General features: G+C 35.3%; 1 long non-coding RNA gene across 1 annotated transcript; it reads right to left on the bottom strand.

Annotated features, from left to right (window-relative positions):
• Positions 1-433: 433 nt before the first annotated feature.
• LINC02760 (long intergenic non-protein coding RNA 2760) lies at positions 434-16496 on the bottom strand. The gene is made up of 3 exons (NR_135110.1): positions 16394-16496; positions 4297-4356; positions 434-646 (listed from the first exon to the last, which is right to left on the bottom strand). It is a non-coding gene; the product is annotated as a long intergenic non-protein coding RNA 2760 (long non-coding RNA).
• Positions 16497-16752: the final 256 nt, after the last annotated feature.

Genomic DNA, 16752 nt, shown 5'->3' with positions numbered 1-16752 from the left:
GCCACTGCACTCCAGCCTGGGCGACAGAGGAGACTCCATCTCAAAAAAAAAAAAATTATATTAAGAAATACAATGTCATCATTTCCCAGAAATGTTAATAATCTCTCCCCTATGATATTCATAGAATCTCAGATTCTTACTTGTACCTGTACCTTTCAGGAATTGCTGAAGATCAGTAGAAGAAAACTTAAATCAGCTTCTCCTAATAGCTAAGAAATAGGTTTCCTTGTCTAATCCCAACAACCCTAATGTGTCTGTCACAAATTTCATAAGGAATGCATGACATTCACAAAGCGACTTTGACTGATGCTAAGCTACTGATTATCTTTTCTCATTTATTAATTTAGAAATCTTTTTTTTTCTGTGTGATCACTTGTGTTTCCAGTGACTATATATGGCACAACCAAGAATTGACACTAAAGCAAATGTCTCCTGATGTTATGGTGATGAAGCTTTTAAGAACTGAAGTTATAAGGAAACTCAGTGATATTAGACAGACAGGGGAAGTATACACGGGGTGCATGTGCATCAAGATTGAGACTGGGCATAAGCACTATGTGAGCCCAGGTGCTGGGTTTTTCTGCTGCCACCCACAACATTCGTATCTGGAAAAAGTCAGCTTAAGATGAACATCACAAGAGGGAACCTTGAAGAGGGAATGAAGAAAGAGAATCAATAAACATATGCCTTGATGGTAATAATCTGATTATTTAGAGTACATTTTTATATATTATACACTTGAACTTATATTAAGCTTATGTTTTTGTTTGTGTTTTAATTATCAGCTGACAAAGGCCTTTTCTTTCTCTTTTCCTGCATATATATTACACCATATTCATTTTATAAACACATTTCTCAAAATTCTTGCTTATTTTAGATGAAAAAACACCAATTTAATTTCTCTTTCTTTTTCTTTTTCTTTTTTTGGACTAAATTAGCCAGCCATTGTAATGTCCCAGGAAAGCACAGCTCACAGTACATTATAGTGAATTCAACTTCAATCACATGGAATAATACTCAGCTCAATTATCATTTCAACTCAATTGCATTCATTCCTACTGGGTTTAAATTCCATTTTCTTAGTAGGCCCTCTTTTTTCTCTAAAAGTGGGATACTCTTAAGCATATAGTAGTAGCACTTTTGAATACAACAGAATGGAATCAGACTTTTATTGAGGTCAAACAAAATTGGAGAAGAATTGCATATAAATCCACCTCTGCTCGTGTTTTCAGCATTATATGTGCATTTAATGTTAATTTAGTTCAAATTATAATTTTCTATATTTCTATAATTTAATTAACCTCTTCTCACTCTATGCTTCAATATCTCTTTGTCTGCAACTCCTTGGTAACACTTAGCACATTTGACTTGCTCTGTGAGGATGAGGAAGTCACGTTGATTGGATTTCTAGGTGACAATTACTGTATGGGTTTCTTTATACACAGGTGATCTCCATTTTCTCATTGAATCCTAGCATTAACACTTTACAGTTGATGCTAATTTGATGCTAGTTATCCATAGGTAGTACTAAATTTCAGAAGATTTAGGAACATAATTTCAAACCACGATACAATACATAGAAGGGCTGGCTTTCAAACCAGGTATATCCTAATCCAAAACTCAATTTATGCTATCTCTAATTATCCATGCCAGCCTTTATCACTAGACTGTAAGCTACCTAAACTCAATAATATTGATTTCTTGCAGAATACAGCATTTTCTTAGCAAATTGCAAATTTTTATATAATGTTGGCCGCAGGATAACTCTCAATATGTTTATTCATGACACGTAGGCTTAAGTGATACTCCATTTTACAATAAAAAAAAGACTAATTACTTTGATCCTCAAAGTGATTTTATAGAAGTAGAAAAATCATTACATTTTTCAGGGCTAAAGTATGGGGAAAATAATGAACAAATAAACAAATAAATAAATGAATGAATAAAAACTACAAGGATCTAAATAATAAATCACTTAATTATTTAAAGCCAAATCTGACTCACAATGAATGGCATTGCTTCTTATTCTGTGTTCTGTTCTCAAAATAAAATAATATATATTAGGGAAAAATCAACCCAAAGAAATTCAGATTTTTTTTTCTACATATATGCTATACATAAATGAAATATTAAAACCTCCACCCAAGTTCTGAAAAAAGCTATTTATTGAGACAAAGCACATTGAAATGTATTAGTATATTTAGAAGTTCACTTTTCCTAAGATGATGAGAAAATCTACAGTGTACTGTTCATTTTTTATTATAATTACCAAAATAATTATTAAAAAATAGTTTTTCAAGTCCAAAACAAACCAAAATGAAATAAAATTTTAGATCAAGGCAGCTTTTTCCTAAACTATATTAGAAACTTTTTTAAAAAGATTAATGTATTTTATATAACTTTCTATAAAAAACAAAAAATCATTCAATTTATAAGGATACTAATAATTATCCAGAAAATTTAAAAACATATCTTCTAATTTCCAAGTTTCCATTTAGAATTATGCTCATTACTTTAGATATTTTTTATAAGCACATACAGTTGATAAAGGAAGGAAGTAATTGAACTTCAAATTAGAATTTTATATATAAGCTATCTCTTAATTCAACCTGGCTTTAAATCTGTGAATAAAAGTAAAACCAACTTCAGTTGATATTAATTTAATAACCTTATGACAGTAGAAAGAAATGGGCATGGATTTGCTTTTGACTAAGATAAATATTAAAGTTAAGTTTTTCCTCTCTACTTAGCTTTGCAGTTACCCTCAAGGCATTAATCTATTGAAAGGGATAAGATATCATCTTTCAGAGAAAACATGTCATAAATATTTTGATAAAGTATTTGTAATCCTCGAAAACAGATGGCTGTTCCAAAAATATTGTCAGCTGAGAAGGTTTTGCTGACAGAATCGTATTAAACAACAGCAACTGGGTTTTGCACTGCACAATCAGATGTATTCTCTTCTATTAATGAATCACAGCTGGCTGATTTTTCTGACAGCTGGATCTTACAAGACCTAATTTTCACCCTTTGCTCTATTGCTGACTAATGAAACCCAAATCAAGTGAAATAGGCTTTTGCAGGGTGAGGGGTATAATGATAGATTTACAAGTAGAGGAGAAACATGAAGAATGTTGACGCAACCTTATAAATATGGGAAAATGGAAATATTCCCAAGGACCATGGGCAGAAGTATCTTCCAGAAAATTTATATATCAGGGGAAAAGATCCCTATATCAATAATGATAACACAATAAGGACAATGTTCATTTCCCCCAGGGGTTTCCACTTGGCTAATGACATTCCATTACCTACTTGATTATTGCATCTAGTTTTCTTTATTAACCTTTGGATAATATTTTGGTGGGTAGACTGCATGACTTTGCAATACTAAAACTCAAGTTTTGCTCTTGTAATTTAGAATTTAGTATATTCTTTATACAGGATTACAAAGTTACTTACTGTATTAGTCTGTTCTCATGCTGCTAATAAAGACATACTTGAGATTGGGTAATTTATAAAGCAAAAGAGGTTTAATGGACTCATAGTTTCACATGGCTGGAGAAGCTTCACAATCATGGCAGAGACTAAGGAAGAGCAAAGGGACGTCTTACATGGCAGCAGGCAAGACAGCATGTGTAGGGGAACTGCCCTTTATAAAACTATTAGATCTTGTGAGACTCATTCACTATCATGAGAACAGCATGAGAAAAACCTGCCCCCCCATGATTCAATTACCTCCCACAGGGTCGCCCCCATAACACACAGGGGTTATTAAAATTCAAAGTGAGATTTGGGTTGGGACACAGAGCCAAACTTTATCATTTTCTATTTGTAATTTTTTTACTACTAAGAAGGTAAAAAAAAGGTCATCAACCAATTTTTCTAAATATCAAATGAGCCAAGGCATGGAAACGATGGGTGTAATTGGATGTAATAGACAAGAAGTGAGTTTAAGGGCACTCTTTAAATACTTTGTTGAATTTCTCTCATTATTTGTCATTGTCTCAAATTTTCTTTTCATTTATTTTTTTTGCCTCTTTGATGTTTTTCTCTCCCTTCCAATACAGTATAAATTTATGTAAGCAAGAATTTTGTGTTGATCATTTCTGTATTACATCCTCAGTGTAGAAAACAATGCCCACAATAAAATATGTCCTCAGTAAATAAATGTTCAAGAAATGCCATGCAATGTACCTATAAAGTTGAACTCACAGTATACATTTTGTGTTCTGAATTAATTTACTTTTTATTTGCAAAAATTATTTATTTATCAAATATACATTCTGTACCTACCATGTATGAAGCATTGTATTAGTTGCTTCAGAGCAAATATGAGTAGGATATCATCTCTATCTAGGTGGAAAAGAAAAGAAGAAAACCAAACATTAGAGCAAATATTTCATTTTCTTATTTATTTGTTTATGTATTCATTTATTTATTTTGTGATCGTGTCTCACTCTGTGGCCTAGGTTGGGGTGCAGTGGGGTTATCTCACCTCACTGCAACCTCTGCCTCCTGGGTTCAAGTGATTCTCCTGCCTCAGCCTCCCAAGTAGCTGGGACTAGGACTACAAATGCGTGCCATCACACCTGGCTAATTTTTGTATTTTTAGTAGAGAAGGGGTTTCACCATGTTGGCCAGGCTGGTCTCAAACTCCTGACCTCGAGTGATCCACCCACCTCAGCCTCCCAAAATGCTGAGATTACAGGCATGAGGCACCGCCCCCGACCTCCTTTGCATTTTTAGTTTTTAAGTAGTGAAATTCAACTTTCATACAAAAAGCAAAATCTAGGTATTTTAGATCTGAAAGTAATTGGGATTTGCTAATCCACATTCATTTCACAGAGAAGAAATTCAGGGACCCATAGGCTAAAAGAGCCATGTAATATTTCTTTGCTTGTTAGGGAAGATTTTCTAATTTTCAGGCCACCATTCTTTAAATGAGTGTATTCGTCCATTTTTTCAAATTTTGAACACTTATAAAAGCTATGTAGGGGAGATGAAGAATGGAAGGTATAATGTGAAATGATTAAAATATTGTTTCTATCTTATAAGTAGCAAAAAGATTACTGGAAAATAGATTATTTAGGTACTTTTGGCCATCATCTGAAATTTTATAAATACTGGGACCTCCCATACACTTGGGTAGTTTTAAATTGTTTAATTTAAAGTTTTTTTCCTGACACAGTGCCTTGCAAGTATTTATTCAAAGTGGTTAAACTGATAAAGAAAGAATGAGTGAGTGTATTACACAAAGATGCCCACATTATTCATTTTTATAGAAATTCTGATAATATATGAGAGAAATGTACTTTTATCTTTTGATAAGGCACCTGACACATTCTATATGGCCCATGCTTATCATTGAATCTAACCTGATATTATCTTAAATAAATTCTAGAAAGGTAACTTTCAGGCCATATAATTTAAAAGTCTGCCATGAGCCAGGCATCATGCAAATATGAAAAAAATCAAATATTAACGTGAGTTATTCTCATCCTTAGGTAGCTCATAAACTAATGAGGTAGGCATAAATATGAACATGTACAAATATAAAGTGTGAAAAGTGACTTGATTCACTTAAAAAGTCTTGGTTAGTATCGTTATAAAAATGTCTCACAAGTCTAGATTTTAAATTTGACTTTATTTGCTTTGTGTCATATTTGTATATTCTGCCACCCACTGCATGCCTCCATATGAGTTTACCATACACATTTCAAGAAAGATGGGCAGAACTTATCTCATTATTATTTCTGAAATGTATCATATTTCTTATGCTTCTAATCTCTTTTAATGGTAAAATCACTAACCTAGTCATTCAAGTCATTTTTATTGCTCTTACACAATTAATTTCCAAGACTCTTTATTTTCCCTTTGTTTCCTTCCTTATATCTGCTGTCCATTCCTGTTATTTCTTATGTAGTTCTGTCTATTCCTGTCATTTCTTATGTAGTTGAGGCCTCTGATTCTCTTTAACCAGAATCAGTACTAGAGTCTGCTCAATTTTTTCTTGCTTCAAATTCTGGAGAACATTTCATAGAACAGCAATGGCATGACTGAAGTCATATAATTATAAGAATTGACTTATTCTCAGGAAATTGCAAATGTTGGCTGTCACCAGGACTCAAGAGAGCAGTTAAGGTGTGCAATGACTTGGTATAAGTACTTAGGCTGGGCGCTGTGGCTCACGCCTGTAATCCTAGCACTTTGGGAGGCCGAGGTGGGTGGATCACCTGAGGTCAAGAGTTTGAGACCAGCCTGGCCAACATGGTGAAACCCCATCTCTACTAAAAATACAAAAAATTAGCTGGGCGTGGTGGCTTGCACCTGTAATCCCAGCAACTCAGCAGGCTGAGGCAGGACAATTGCTTGAACCCGGGAGAAGGAGGTTGCAGTGAACCGAAATGGCGCCATTGCACTCCAGCCTGGGTGACAAGAGCTAGTAGATTCCATCTCAAAAAAAAAAAAAGAAAGAAAGAAAGAAAAAAAAAGTGTACTTACACTTCTAAGTTTGGACTAGATTATGTATACTCTAAAGGTATTACGCAATTCATGAGGTGTGGTTCAAACGGCTGACTAGAAGCAGTTAGTGGGCACTTCTCTCATGAAGAACAATCAAAATAGCAAGTAAATATTAACATTTGAGTAGACCATTGAAAAGAGCACTTTGGAATTCATCAGAGAAGTGACAGGAATCAGGGAAAGCAGAGAAGAGTGAAGTAAGGCAGCCTGCTGAGCTGGGTCTAGCGTGGAGCCAGGAGAGCCTCCCTGTCACAGTGAAGGAATGAGTGAGTGAGAGACCCACAGGGTCTCACCCTTCCATCATGGACTTTTACAATCTTAGCCATAGGGGAGCCGTCTCGACCCTTACCTTCACCATTCAGAATAACACAGAGAGCTGCTTGGAGACTTTGCAAAGGAACTACTCAAACCCACATGGAGTCACGCAGGCTTTTGATCCCTAAGCAGCTGCAAGTAGGTGCCAGCTGCCACTGTTGTGCCAGGGAGGGAGCAGAGAGGTCAGGCATTTTTGCACACCCCAAAGCCAGTCACTTCTGTCACTGCTGTGGGACGAAAGAGTGTGAAGACTGTGCACCCCATGACTGCCTGCTTCTGCTGCTCCCTGCTAAGTGGGGGCTGCCTTCCCTGTTATCAAATCCTCAGCGCAGCTGCTGTGCTACCATCTGAGCATTGTGGCTGTGGCTCAGCATTCTTCTGAGAGCCCAGCCCCTAGAGGATCATGATCTACCCTTCAGGTACCACAGCATTTATTGCTTCCACCATTACTGTCACCCTTGCCACTGCCAGGCCAGGGATGGAGTAGAGAAACTGGGCACCTTGACACACCCCAACAGCAAAATCCACCATCACTTCTGTGGCACAAAAGTGCAAGTGAGCTGCATGCCCCATAGCTGCTAGCTTCCATTGCTCCTGCTGAAGAGGGCCTACTCTCCCCAGTAACATACCTGCAGAGTAGCTTCTCTGCCCTTGCCTGATCACTGTGGTAAAGGCCTGGCCCCGTGTTGAAAGCCTAGCCTCTGGAGGCCTGCATTCTATGCTGGGATCCAGCCACATCAATGCTGCCATAGTCACTTCCAGAACAGGAAGGGAGTGAAAGATTGGGCACCTCTGTGTCCCCAGATAAAGGATACTGCCACTGCTCCTGTGGGAGAAAAGCACTAGTGGGCCATGAGCCCCATAGGTGTCTGCCTCCACTGCCACTGCTCCCACCAAGTAGGCCCTGACTTCCCCAGTGAAAGGTTCCTACCTGATCATTTTGGTTGCGACTCAGAGCCTTCCTGACAACCCAGCCCCTACAGGCCTGCAATGTACCCTGGGGCTCCCACATCTTGAGCATCCTGACACTACAAGAGCATTCTACCTGCCCTTACCTTGGAGTTCTGCTGGTGACCAGGGGACTAGCCCACCCCTCCCTATTGCAGTTAGCACCTGAATTTGAGGGACCTGAGAATAAGTCTGCTGTCCTGGTCTCAGTCCAGTTTCAACAAGACTTGTACACAACAACCAGTGGGCTACCTAGGGGCCTGTGGAGTAGGGGATTGCCTAGCCCAGTCCACCACAACTGGCACCTTGTCTCCTCCCCTGGGATCTGAGGTCAAGCCAACACAATCAGCCAACACCACATCTGACACCCACACATATACTGAAGGATGGAGCCCCTGCCCCTCTGTACATGAAGCAGCAGCATCAGAACAGGCAAGTTATAAAGCTGTCCATATTGGGCTTGGTAAAGAGGTTCCACACTGAAGCCATTCCCATGGAGAACCACAGAACAGATGGTTTCCATGTCTCTCAACTACACTGTGACCTGGTGACAGACAACATTGTATGTCTGAACTGAGAGTCACAAGCCATGGGACACAGATGTGATAGGAAAACAGAGTGCATTCCTGCCTTTCTGGGATGTGGAGCTGATGCAGCTGCCTCTCTTACCTCCCACAAAGACTTTGGTATATTTTACCAGGAGCTCCCCCAGCCATCCCTATCAGAGATGGTTACTGTGCTCATCACTGGTGTATTCATGGGTGAGCCAGGTGGTCCACCTCTGCCCCGGTCTCCCACCTTTCCTAGCTGAACAGAAAACTCAGAGTGCCAGGCATTTTGTTATCTAGCCCATCACTTGAAACAACAGAGAACACTTCACAGTAAACAAAAGTACATACTTATCTGCCTTTGCCAGAGCTGGCTTTTACCCATAAGCACCACCTACTGGCCTGAATGTTGAACTGCACAACCCAATATATATAATCTGCCAACATAATGTTCACAGGGCTATAGAAGCAAAGCTGAAAGACCCTACCCAATGTGCTCCACAGTCACACCCTCCGGGGGCGTGGGGGGAATTTCTATCCAAATGACAGTGAATTCAAAAACAAGAAGTGGCCGTTCCTCCAGATGAGAAGAAACCAGGATAAGAACACTGAATGTAGTGAGGTATTACTGAAAGATTACAGTAGCTGTCTAGCAATAGACTTTAACCAAAATGAAGATTCTTAAATGATAAAGAATTCAAAGTATATATTGTAAGGAAACTTAATGAGATCCAAGAGAAGGTTCAAAACCAACATAAGGAAATCAGAAAAGTAACTGAGAAAATTAAGAAAAGACAGAGATCTTAAAATAAAAAACAGAACTTCTGGAAATGAAAAATTTACTGAAGGAATTTCAAAATACAGTTGAAAGCTTTAAAAATAGCCTAGATGAAACAAAAGAGAGCATTTCAGAGCTTGAAGAATGGTCTTTTGAATTAACCCAGTCAGACAAAAAAAAGAAAAAAGAAATTTTAAAATGGACAAAGATTTTGAGGAACATGAGATTATGTAAAGCAATCAAATTTATGACTTATCAGCATTCCTGAAGGAGGAAAAAATTTTAAAAGCTTGAAAAACATATTTGAAATAATAATTCAGGAAATGTCCCTGATTTTACTGGAGATATAAACATCTGGATACAAGAAATTTGAAGAACACCTTGAAGGTGCTATACTAGATGAATATCACCAGAGAATATAGCCATCAAACTATTCAAGGTCAAAGTGTAAGAAAAGAAAATAAAAAAAACAAAACCTAAAAGCAGCTAGAGGGAAGCATCAAATCACCCATGAAGAAAATATCATCAGACGGTGGACCTCTCAGAAGAAACCTTAAAGGTCAAAGTTACTAGGATCCTACTTTTAGTATTCTTAAGAAAATAATTGCCAGCTAAGAGTTTTGTAACCTGCAAAACTAAGCTTTATAAATAAAGGAAAACAAATTATTTCCCAGACAAGCAAATTCTAAGAGAATTTATTACCACTAGACTGGTCCTACAAGAAATGCTCAAAGGACTTTTAAACATAGAAATGAAAAAATGATATTCATCATCATGAAAGCATATGTAAATATATATGATTCTATGAAGCAATTAAACAATTGAGACTGTAAGGAAACTAGCTAAGAACACTATGACAGGAACGGAAGTTGATGTATCAATATTAACCTTAAATGCAAATGGCCTAAATGCTTCATGTACAAAATAGACTGACAAATTAGGTTAAAAAAATAAATAAAACACAACCACCTGCTACCTACAAGCTACTCATCTAATGGGTAACAACAACTATAGACTCACAGTAAAGGGGTAGAAAAAGCTTTATGACTCAAAAGGAAAATAAAAATAAGCAGGAGTAGCCATCGTTATATCATATAAAACAGAATTTAAATCAACAGCAGTTATAAAAAAAGACAACTACATTATACAATTATAAAGAGTTCACTTCAACAAAAACTTTTAACTATCCTAAGTATATATGCACCTAACACCAAAACACCAAGACATAAAACAAATACTATTAGACCTAAGAAACCAGAGAGACAGCAATGCAATAATGTTGAGGGAGGTCATCACCTCATTGACAACACTGGATAGATCATTGAGGCAGAAAATCAACAAAGAAAATTTGGACTTAAAGTAGACTCTAGCTAAATGGACTTAATAGATATTTACAGAACATTTAACCCAACAACTGCAGAATATAAGTGTTGTTGTTGTTTTTTTAATCCGCACATGGAACATTCTCCAAAATTGACCATATGGTTGGTCATACAGCATGTCTCAATAAATGTAAAAAATCAGAATCATATCAAGTATCTTCTTGTTCCACACTGGAATAAAATTAGAAGTTACTACTAAGAAGAACTCTCAGAATGACAGAAGTACATGGAAACTAAACAACTAGCTCCTGAATGATCTTTGGGTAAACAATGAAATTAAGGTAGAAATTTAATTTATTTTAAATAAATGAAAACAGAGACACAACATACCAAAACTCCTGGGATACAGAAAAAAACAGTGCCAAGAGAAAAGTTTATAGCCTTAAATGTCTATATCAGAAAGATAGAAATGTATTAAATTAACAACCTAACATCACAACTCAAGGAACTAAAAACATAAGACTAAACTGAACCGAAAGCTAACAGAAGAAAAGAAATAACAAAGGTCAGAGCAAAGCTCAATAAGATTGGGGCAAAAAGTGATAAAAAGGATCAATGAAAAGAAAAGTTGGTTGTTTGAAAGGATAAACAAAGTTGATAGTCACTAGGAAGTTTAAACAAGCAAAAAAATAGAAGCTTCAAATAAGCATAATCAGAAACAATAAAGGTTACATTGCAATTGGTACCATATAAACAAAAATAGACCCTCAGAAACTACCATGAACATCTCTATGTGCACAACCTAGAAAACTGTGAGGAATGGATAAAGTGCTGGAAACACAACTTCCCAAAATTGAGCGAGGAAGAAGTGGAAATCTTGAACAAACCAATAACAAGTAATAAAATTTAATCAGTAATTAAAAATCCCCTAAGGAAAAAAAAAAAAAAACAAGGACCGGACAAATTCACAGCTCAGTTTTACCAGACATATAAAGAAGGGTTACCAATCTTACTGACTATTCTAAAAAATTGAGGAAGTGGGATTCCTCTCTAACTTATTCTATGAAACCAGTATCACCCTGATAATGGTAAAGACAAAATAAGAAGATAAAAAACTTCAGGGTAATATCCCTGACGAACATAGATATAACATTCTTCAACAAAGTAATAGCCAATTAAATTCAATAGCACATCAATGAGCTAATACATTATAATCAAGTGGGTTTTATTCAAGGGATGCAAGGATGGTTCAACATATGCAAATGAATAAATATGATTCATCACCTAAAAATACTAAACATGAAAACTATATGATCATCTCAATAGATTAAAAAATCATTCAATAAATTCAGTATTTCTTTAAGATAAAAACTCTCTACAAACTAAGCATCAGAGAAACATATGTCAAAATAATAAAAGCTGTCTATGACAAACTCACAGTAAAAAATCCTACTGAATAGAGAAAGTTGAAAGCATTTCTGTTAAGTATTGGAACAAGACAAGTATGGTCACTCTCATGATTTCTATTCACCACAGTATTGGATGCTGTAGCCAGGGCAATCAAGCAAGAGAAAGAAATAAAAAGCATCCAAATTGTGAAGACAAAGTTAAATTATCTCTGTTCACAGATGACATGTTCTTTTGCCCAGAAAACCCTGAAGATCCCTTCCAAAGACTGTTAGACTTGATAATTACTTCAGTAAATATTCAGAACACAAAATTGATGTAAAAAATCAATAGCATTTCTATACACGAATAACATTCAAGCTAAGAACCAAATCAAGAGCTCAATCCCATTTACAATAGCCCCCCAGATAATAAAATACTCAGGAATACATTTAAACAAGGAGGTAAAAGATCTCTACAAGGAGAGCTACAAAACATTGATGAAAGGATTCATAAATGACACAAACAAATGGAAAACATTCAATGCTTAGAGATTGAAAGAAACAATATCATTAAAATGACCATATAGCCTGAAGCAATTTATATTCAACATAATTCCTATCAAATTGCCAATGCAATTTTCTTGGAATGAAAAAAAAATCAGTTCTAAAATTTGTGTGCACTCGAAAAGAAGCCCAAACAGCCAAAACAATCCTAAGCAAAGAGAACAAAACTGGAGGCATCTTATTACCTGACTTCAAATTGTAATACAATTCTATATAACCAAAACAGCATGGGACTGGTATAAAAATAGACACAATGACCAATGAAATGGAATAGAGAACCCATAAAGAAAGTCACATACTTACAAGCAACAGATCTTTAACCAAGTTGGCAAAAATAAACAATGGGGGAAAAGACATTCCATTTAATAAATGGTGCTGGGAAAATTCAATTACAATATGTGAAAGAATGAAACTGGACTCCTATCTCTCACCATGTAAAAAGTTTACTCAATGTGTGTTAAACACTTAAATATAAGACCTCAAGCTATAAAAATTCTCGAAGAAAATCTAGGAAATACTCTTCTGGAACTCGGCCTAAGTAAATAATTAATGACTAAGACCTCAAAAGCAAATGCAACAAGAAGAAATGTAGACAAATGGGACTTAATTAAAAAGAAGTTTCTCCCCAGCAAAAGAAATAATCAAGAGAATAAACCCAAACGCCTACATAATGGGAGAAAATATTTGCAAGCTACACATCTAACACAAGACTAACATCCAGAATGTACAAGAAACTCAAACAACCCAATGAGAAAAATAAATAATCTCATTAAAAAGTGGAAAAAGAACATGAACAGAAATTCTCAAAAGACAAATAAGTGGCCCACAAACATGAAAAAATGCTCAACATCACTAATCATCTGAATAATACAAATTAAAAACACAATTAGACACCACCTTATACAAGTTAGAATGGCTACTATTAAAAAGTAAAAAACAAACAAAAAACCCCCCAAAAAACAAAAACAGATATTGGCAAGGATGAGGAGGCTATAGAACACCTGTACACTTTTGGTGGGAATCTAAATTGGTACAACCTCTATGGAAAGACAATATGGAAATTTCTCAAAGAGCTAAAAGTGGAACTGTCATTTGACCCAGTAATCTCACTACTGCTTACATATATCCAAAGGAAAAGAAATCACTATATAAAAGACACCTGCACTCAGATGTTTATCAAAGGATAATAGGAAAAAAAGTGGTGTGTGTGTGTGTGTGTGTGTGTGTGTGTATATATAAAATGGACTAGTAATCTGCCATAAAAAAGAATAAAATGTGTCTTTTGCAGCAACATGGATGGAACTGCCTTCAGTTCCATTATACTAAGTGAAATAACTCAGAAACAGAAAGTCAAACACTGCATGTTCTCACTTCTAAGTGTGAGATAAATAATAGGTAAATATGGACATACAGAGTAGAATAAAAGACATTTGAGAATCTAAAAGGTGAAAGGAAAGGAAGGGAGTGAGGGATGACAAATTACCTATTTGGTCCAATGTTCGCTATTTGAGTGATCAGTACAGCAGAAGCCCAAACTTCACCATTATGCATTATATCCATGTAACAAATCTACACTTGTACCCCCTGAATCTATAACAGAATAAATAAATAAACACCCTTTAAAGAAACCTTGTCATCATCTATTCATTTTTATAAGAATTGATATTCAATAATGTAACTGAATCAGCTAGAATCTAAAGTTTTCTATGAGCTATGTATTGAAATAAAAAGCAATTCATTATTTTATTGTTTAATGAGTCTAGGTCAAAAATACAGAAAGAAGCAAATGAGTTTGATAGCTAAATTTATCATTAATCTTGTCCTTAATCTCACCCAAACTAACCTGTTCTTACTCAACAGTTGGTCTGTTTCTAATAAGCATTTTCTTTTCTTTTTTTTTTTTTTTTTTTTTTTTTGAGACGGAGTTTTGCTCTGTCGCCCAGGCTGGAGTGCAGTGGCGCGATCTCGACTCACTGCAAGCTCCGCCTCCCGGGTTCACGCCATTCTCCTGCCTCAGCCTTCCGTGTAGCTGGGACTACAGGCACGCGCCACCATGCCCGGCTAATTTTTGTATTTTTAGTAGAGACGGGGTTTCACCGTGTTAGCCAGGATGGTCTCGATCTCCTGACCTCGTGATCCGCCCGTCTCGGCCTCCCAAAGTGCTGGGATTACAGGCGTGAGCCACCGCGCCCGGCCCTAATAAGCATTTTCTTATTCCATCCCCATTGTCTTAATTTGCTTCAGCCTTTGTCCTTATTTGTAAGGGCACTGAATGCATTTCAATGCATAGATTTGTTATCCAGTTAGACTGCAGTTCCTGTAGACTGAGAGCTACTTTGTCTTTTTTTTCTTTTCGGTTTCTTCCCACAGAGCACTAAAAAGGGCAAGTCTGTCTTCACAGGAGAATCCACAAATAAATGTTGGTGATTGAATAGCTCCAAAAATATTAAAAGTTTTTTTAATTGCCTGTTATTATTTTAAACTAACTTATCATGTAACATATAATCATACAGCTCCTCCAGAGGCAGCAAGGCTAAATAAGAATCTATTTCTTAGCATGATAATGTTTCCAGTTTATTTGCATATTTTACTCCTGATACATTTTCTTTTACAAATCCTCTTTTACAGCAAACTTAAGCCATTTCTAATATACCTGGCTATTTCTATAGTGAAATAGAAAAGCAACTTTTGGGGCGACTTTGGTTGTTCTTCTACACATAATAAAAATTTAGATATCTCTAGAGCCTTCATTTCTAAAATTTTGTTAATAGTTTGTTTAAAATATCTTGTATTGGATTTGATGATCTATTTTCAATTCTTGTATCTTTCTTCTTATAAATAATATCTAAATACAACTCTGATATCTTGCCTCTTTTGAGAGTCTAAAAATCAGGGTTGTTGATCTGAGAAGACCTCTAGACTGTCTTCTCCCATTTTGTTTTTTATAAAACAAGGTCTATTTTTACCTCTTTTTCTCCTAAAAACAGTGTGGATTTCTTATTGTTTCCTAAGGTCGTATGCTTGTGAAACTTATAAAACTAGGAGACAATATAATCTTAAGTTTTTATTTATGGTTCTATTGCAAATACTGTGGACATGAGTCAATATCTATTTTTAAATAAGTGGATTGAAATAAATAACATAGTAAAGAGCTTTGAACTCACACACAATTTGGAAGTATGCAATTGATAACAGATACAATTAACTAGATCACGATAAAAACATCAATGTAGATATTTGAGGGACTATTTTCCTATGTAATTGTAATGTTTTAATGGTAAATTATATATAGTGCATACAGCATACTCAGTATATTTTTCAAGTCACATTATTTTTTAAATGTGTTAAAATAATACACAATGAAACTATTACCTATAAGTGCTATTCAATTGTTCTCAGTAGATATTGCTTATATAAAGCCAAAAGTAGAATCAACAGAGCTGATTTTGTGAAAAAAAAAAAAAAATGAAATAAAGATATTAGAATCATATACCTAAGATAAATAATTTGCATTTTATAACACATCAAAGGCAAAACCATAGCACAATAATCTCAAATTTTTGAGATAGTTTGCACTTCAAATTCTATACTTTATAAGATTTTCATCATGAAATAAAAATGCCCATGAAATTGAAAGTAGGCTATTAATTTTTCTCCATTTTCCCGTGTGTAAAATTTTTTTTCCATATGAGAGTTTAAGTATTTAAAGTCAAGGATTTAAAAATATCAACCTCTACATATACAATTAATATTTGCTAATTAAACCTTGAATATTATTGACAAATTTAGTGAAATTTACAATAATTACTATTCTTGTATTTGACATTACCGAGGAGCTACATATTGCTTACATAAAGAAAAGTTACTCTACTGTTACAGAAAGGACATTTGAAATCACTTGTCATTTCTGCCATCAATCACCAGTTTATAACTCTGGTATCAAATCTTCCCCACAGGTACCTGGACAAAATTCTTATTAGGCCATCCATTAAATGCTTATGTTACCATTGGCAAACTTGGCTCATCCTTTGGTGTTTTCACTCAGTTTTTGTATTTAGGTATCCCTCTGATTCATCAGTCACTAAGATAATTCTTGGGGAGATGTCCTGGAGTGAAGTAATTATACAAAATTATTAGATTTTTAGCCTTGAAGGCTGTTGTTAAAGACATAAAAACTATAACATGATCTATAGTACAATGCTATATTACTGAATAATTGTATATAAATGTCCAAAATGAACACAATAGTTAAACAACGGGAAATAGAATTTCACTTACAATGTACAAAATGTAAAGAAATGTGCAAAGACATGCCTACCAGGAAAAAATATTTAAACTTAAAAAAAATTCCACCAGGTATAGAA

Source organism: Homo sapiens, chromosome 11 (assembly GCF_000001405.40).
Source record: "Homo sapiens chromosome 11, GRCh38.p14 Primary Assembly".
Classification (NCBI taxonomy): domain Eukaryota; kingdom Metazoa; phylum Chordata; class Mammalia; order Primates; family Hominidae; genus Homo; species Homo sapiens.
Note: the sequence above shows the minus strand (reverse complement) of the source record. Positions and strands in the feature narration are given on the sequence as shown.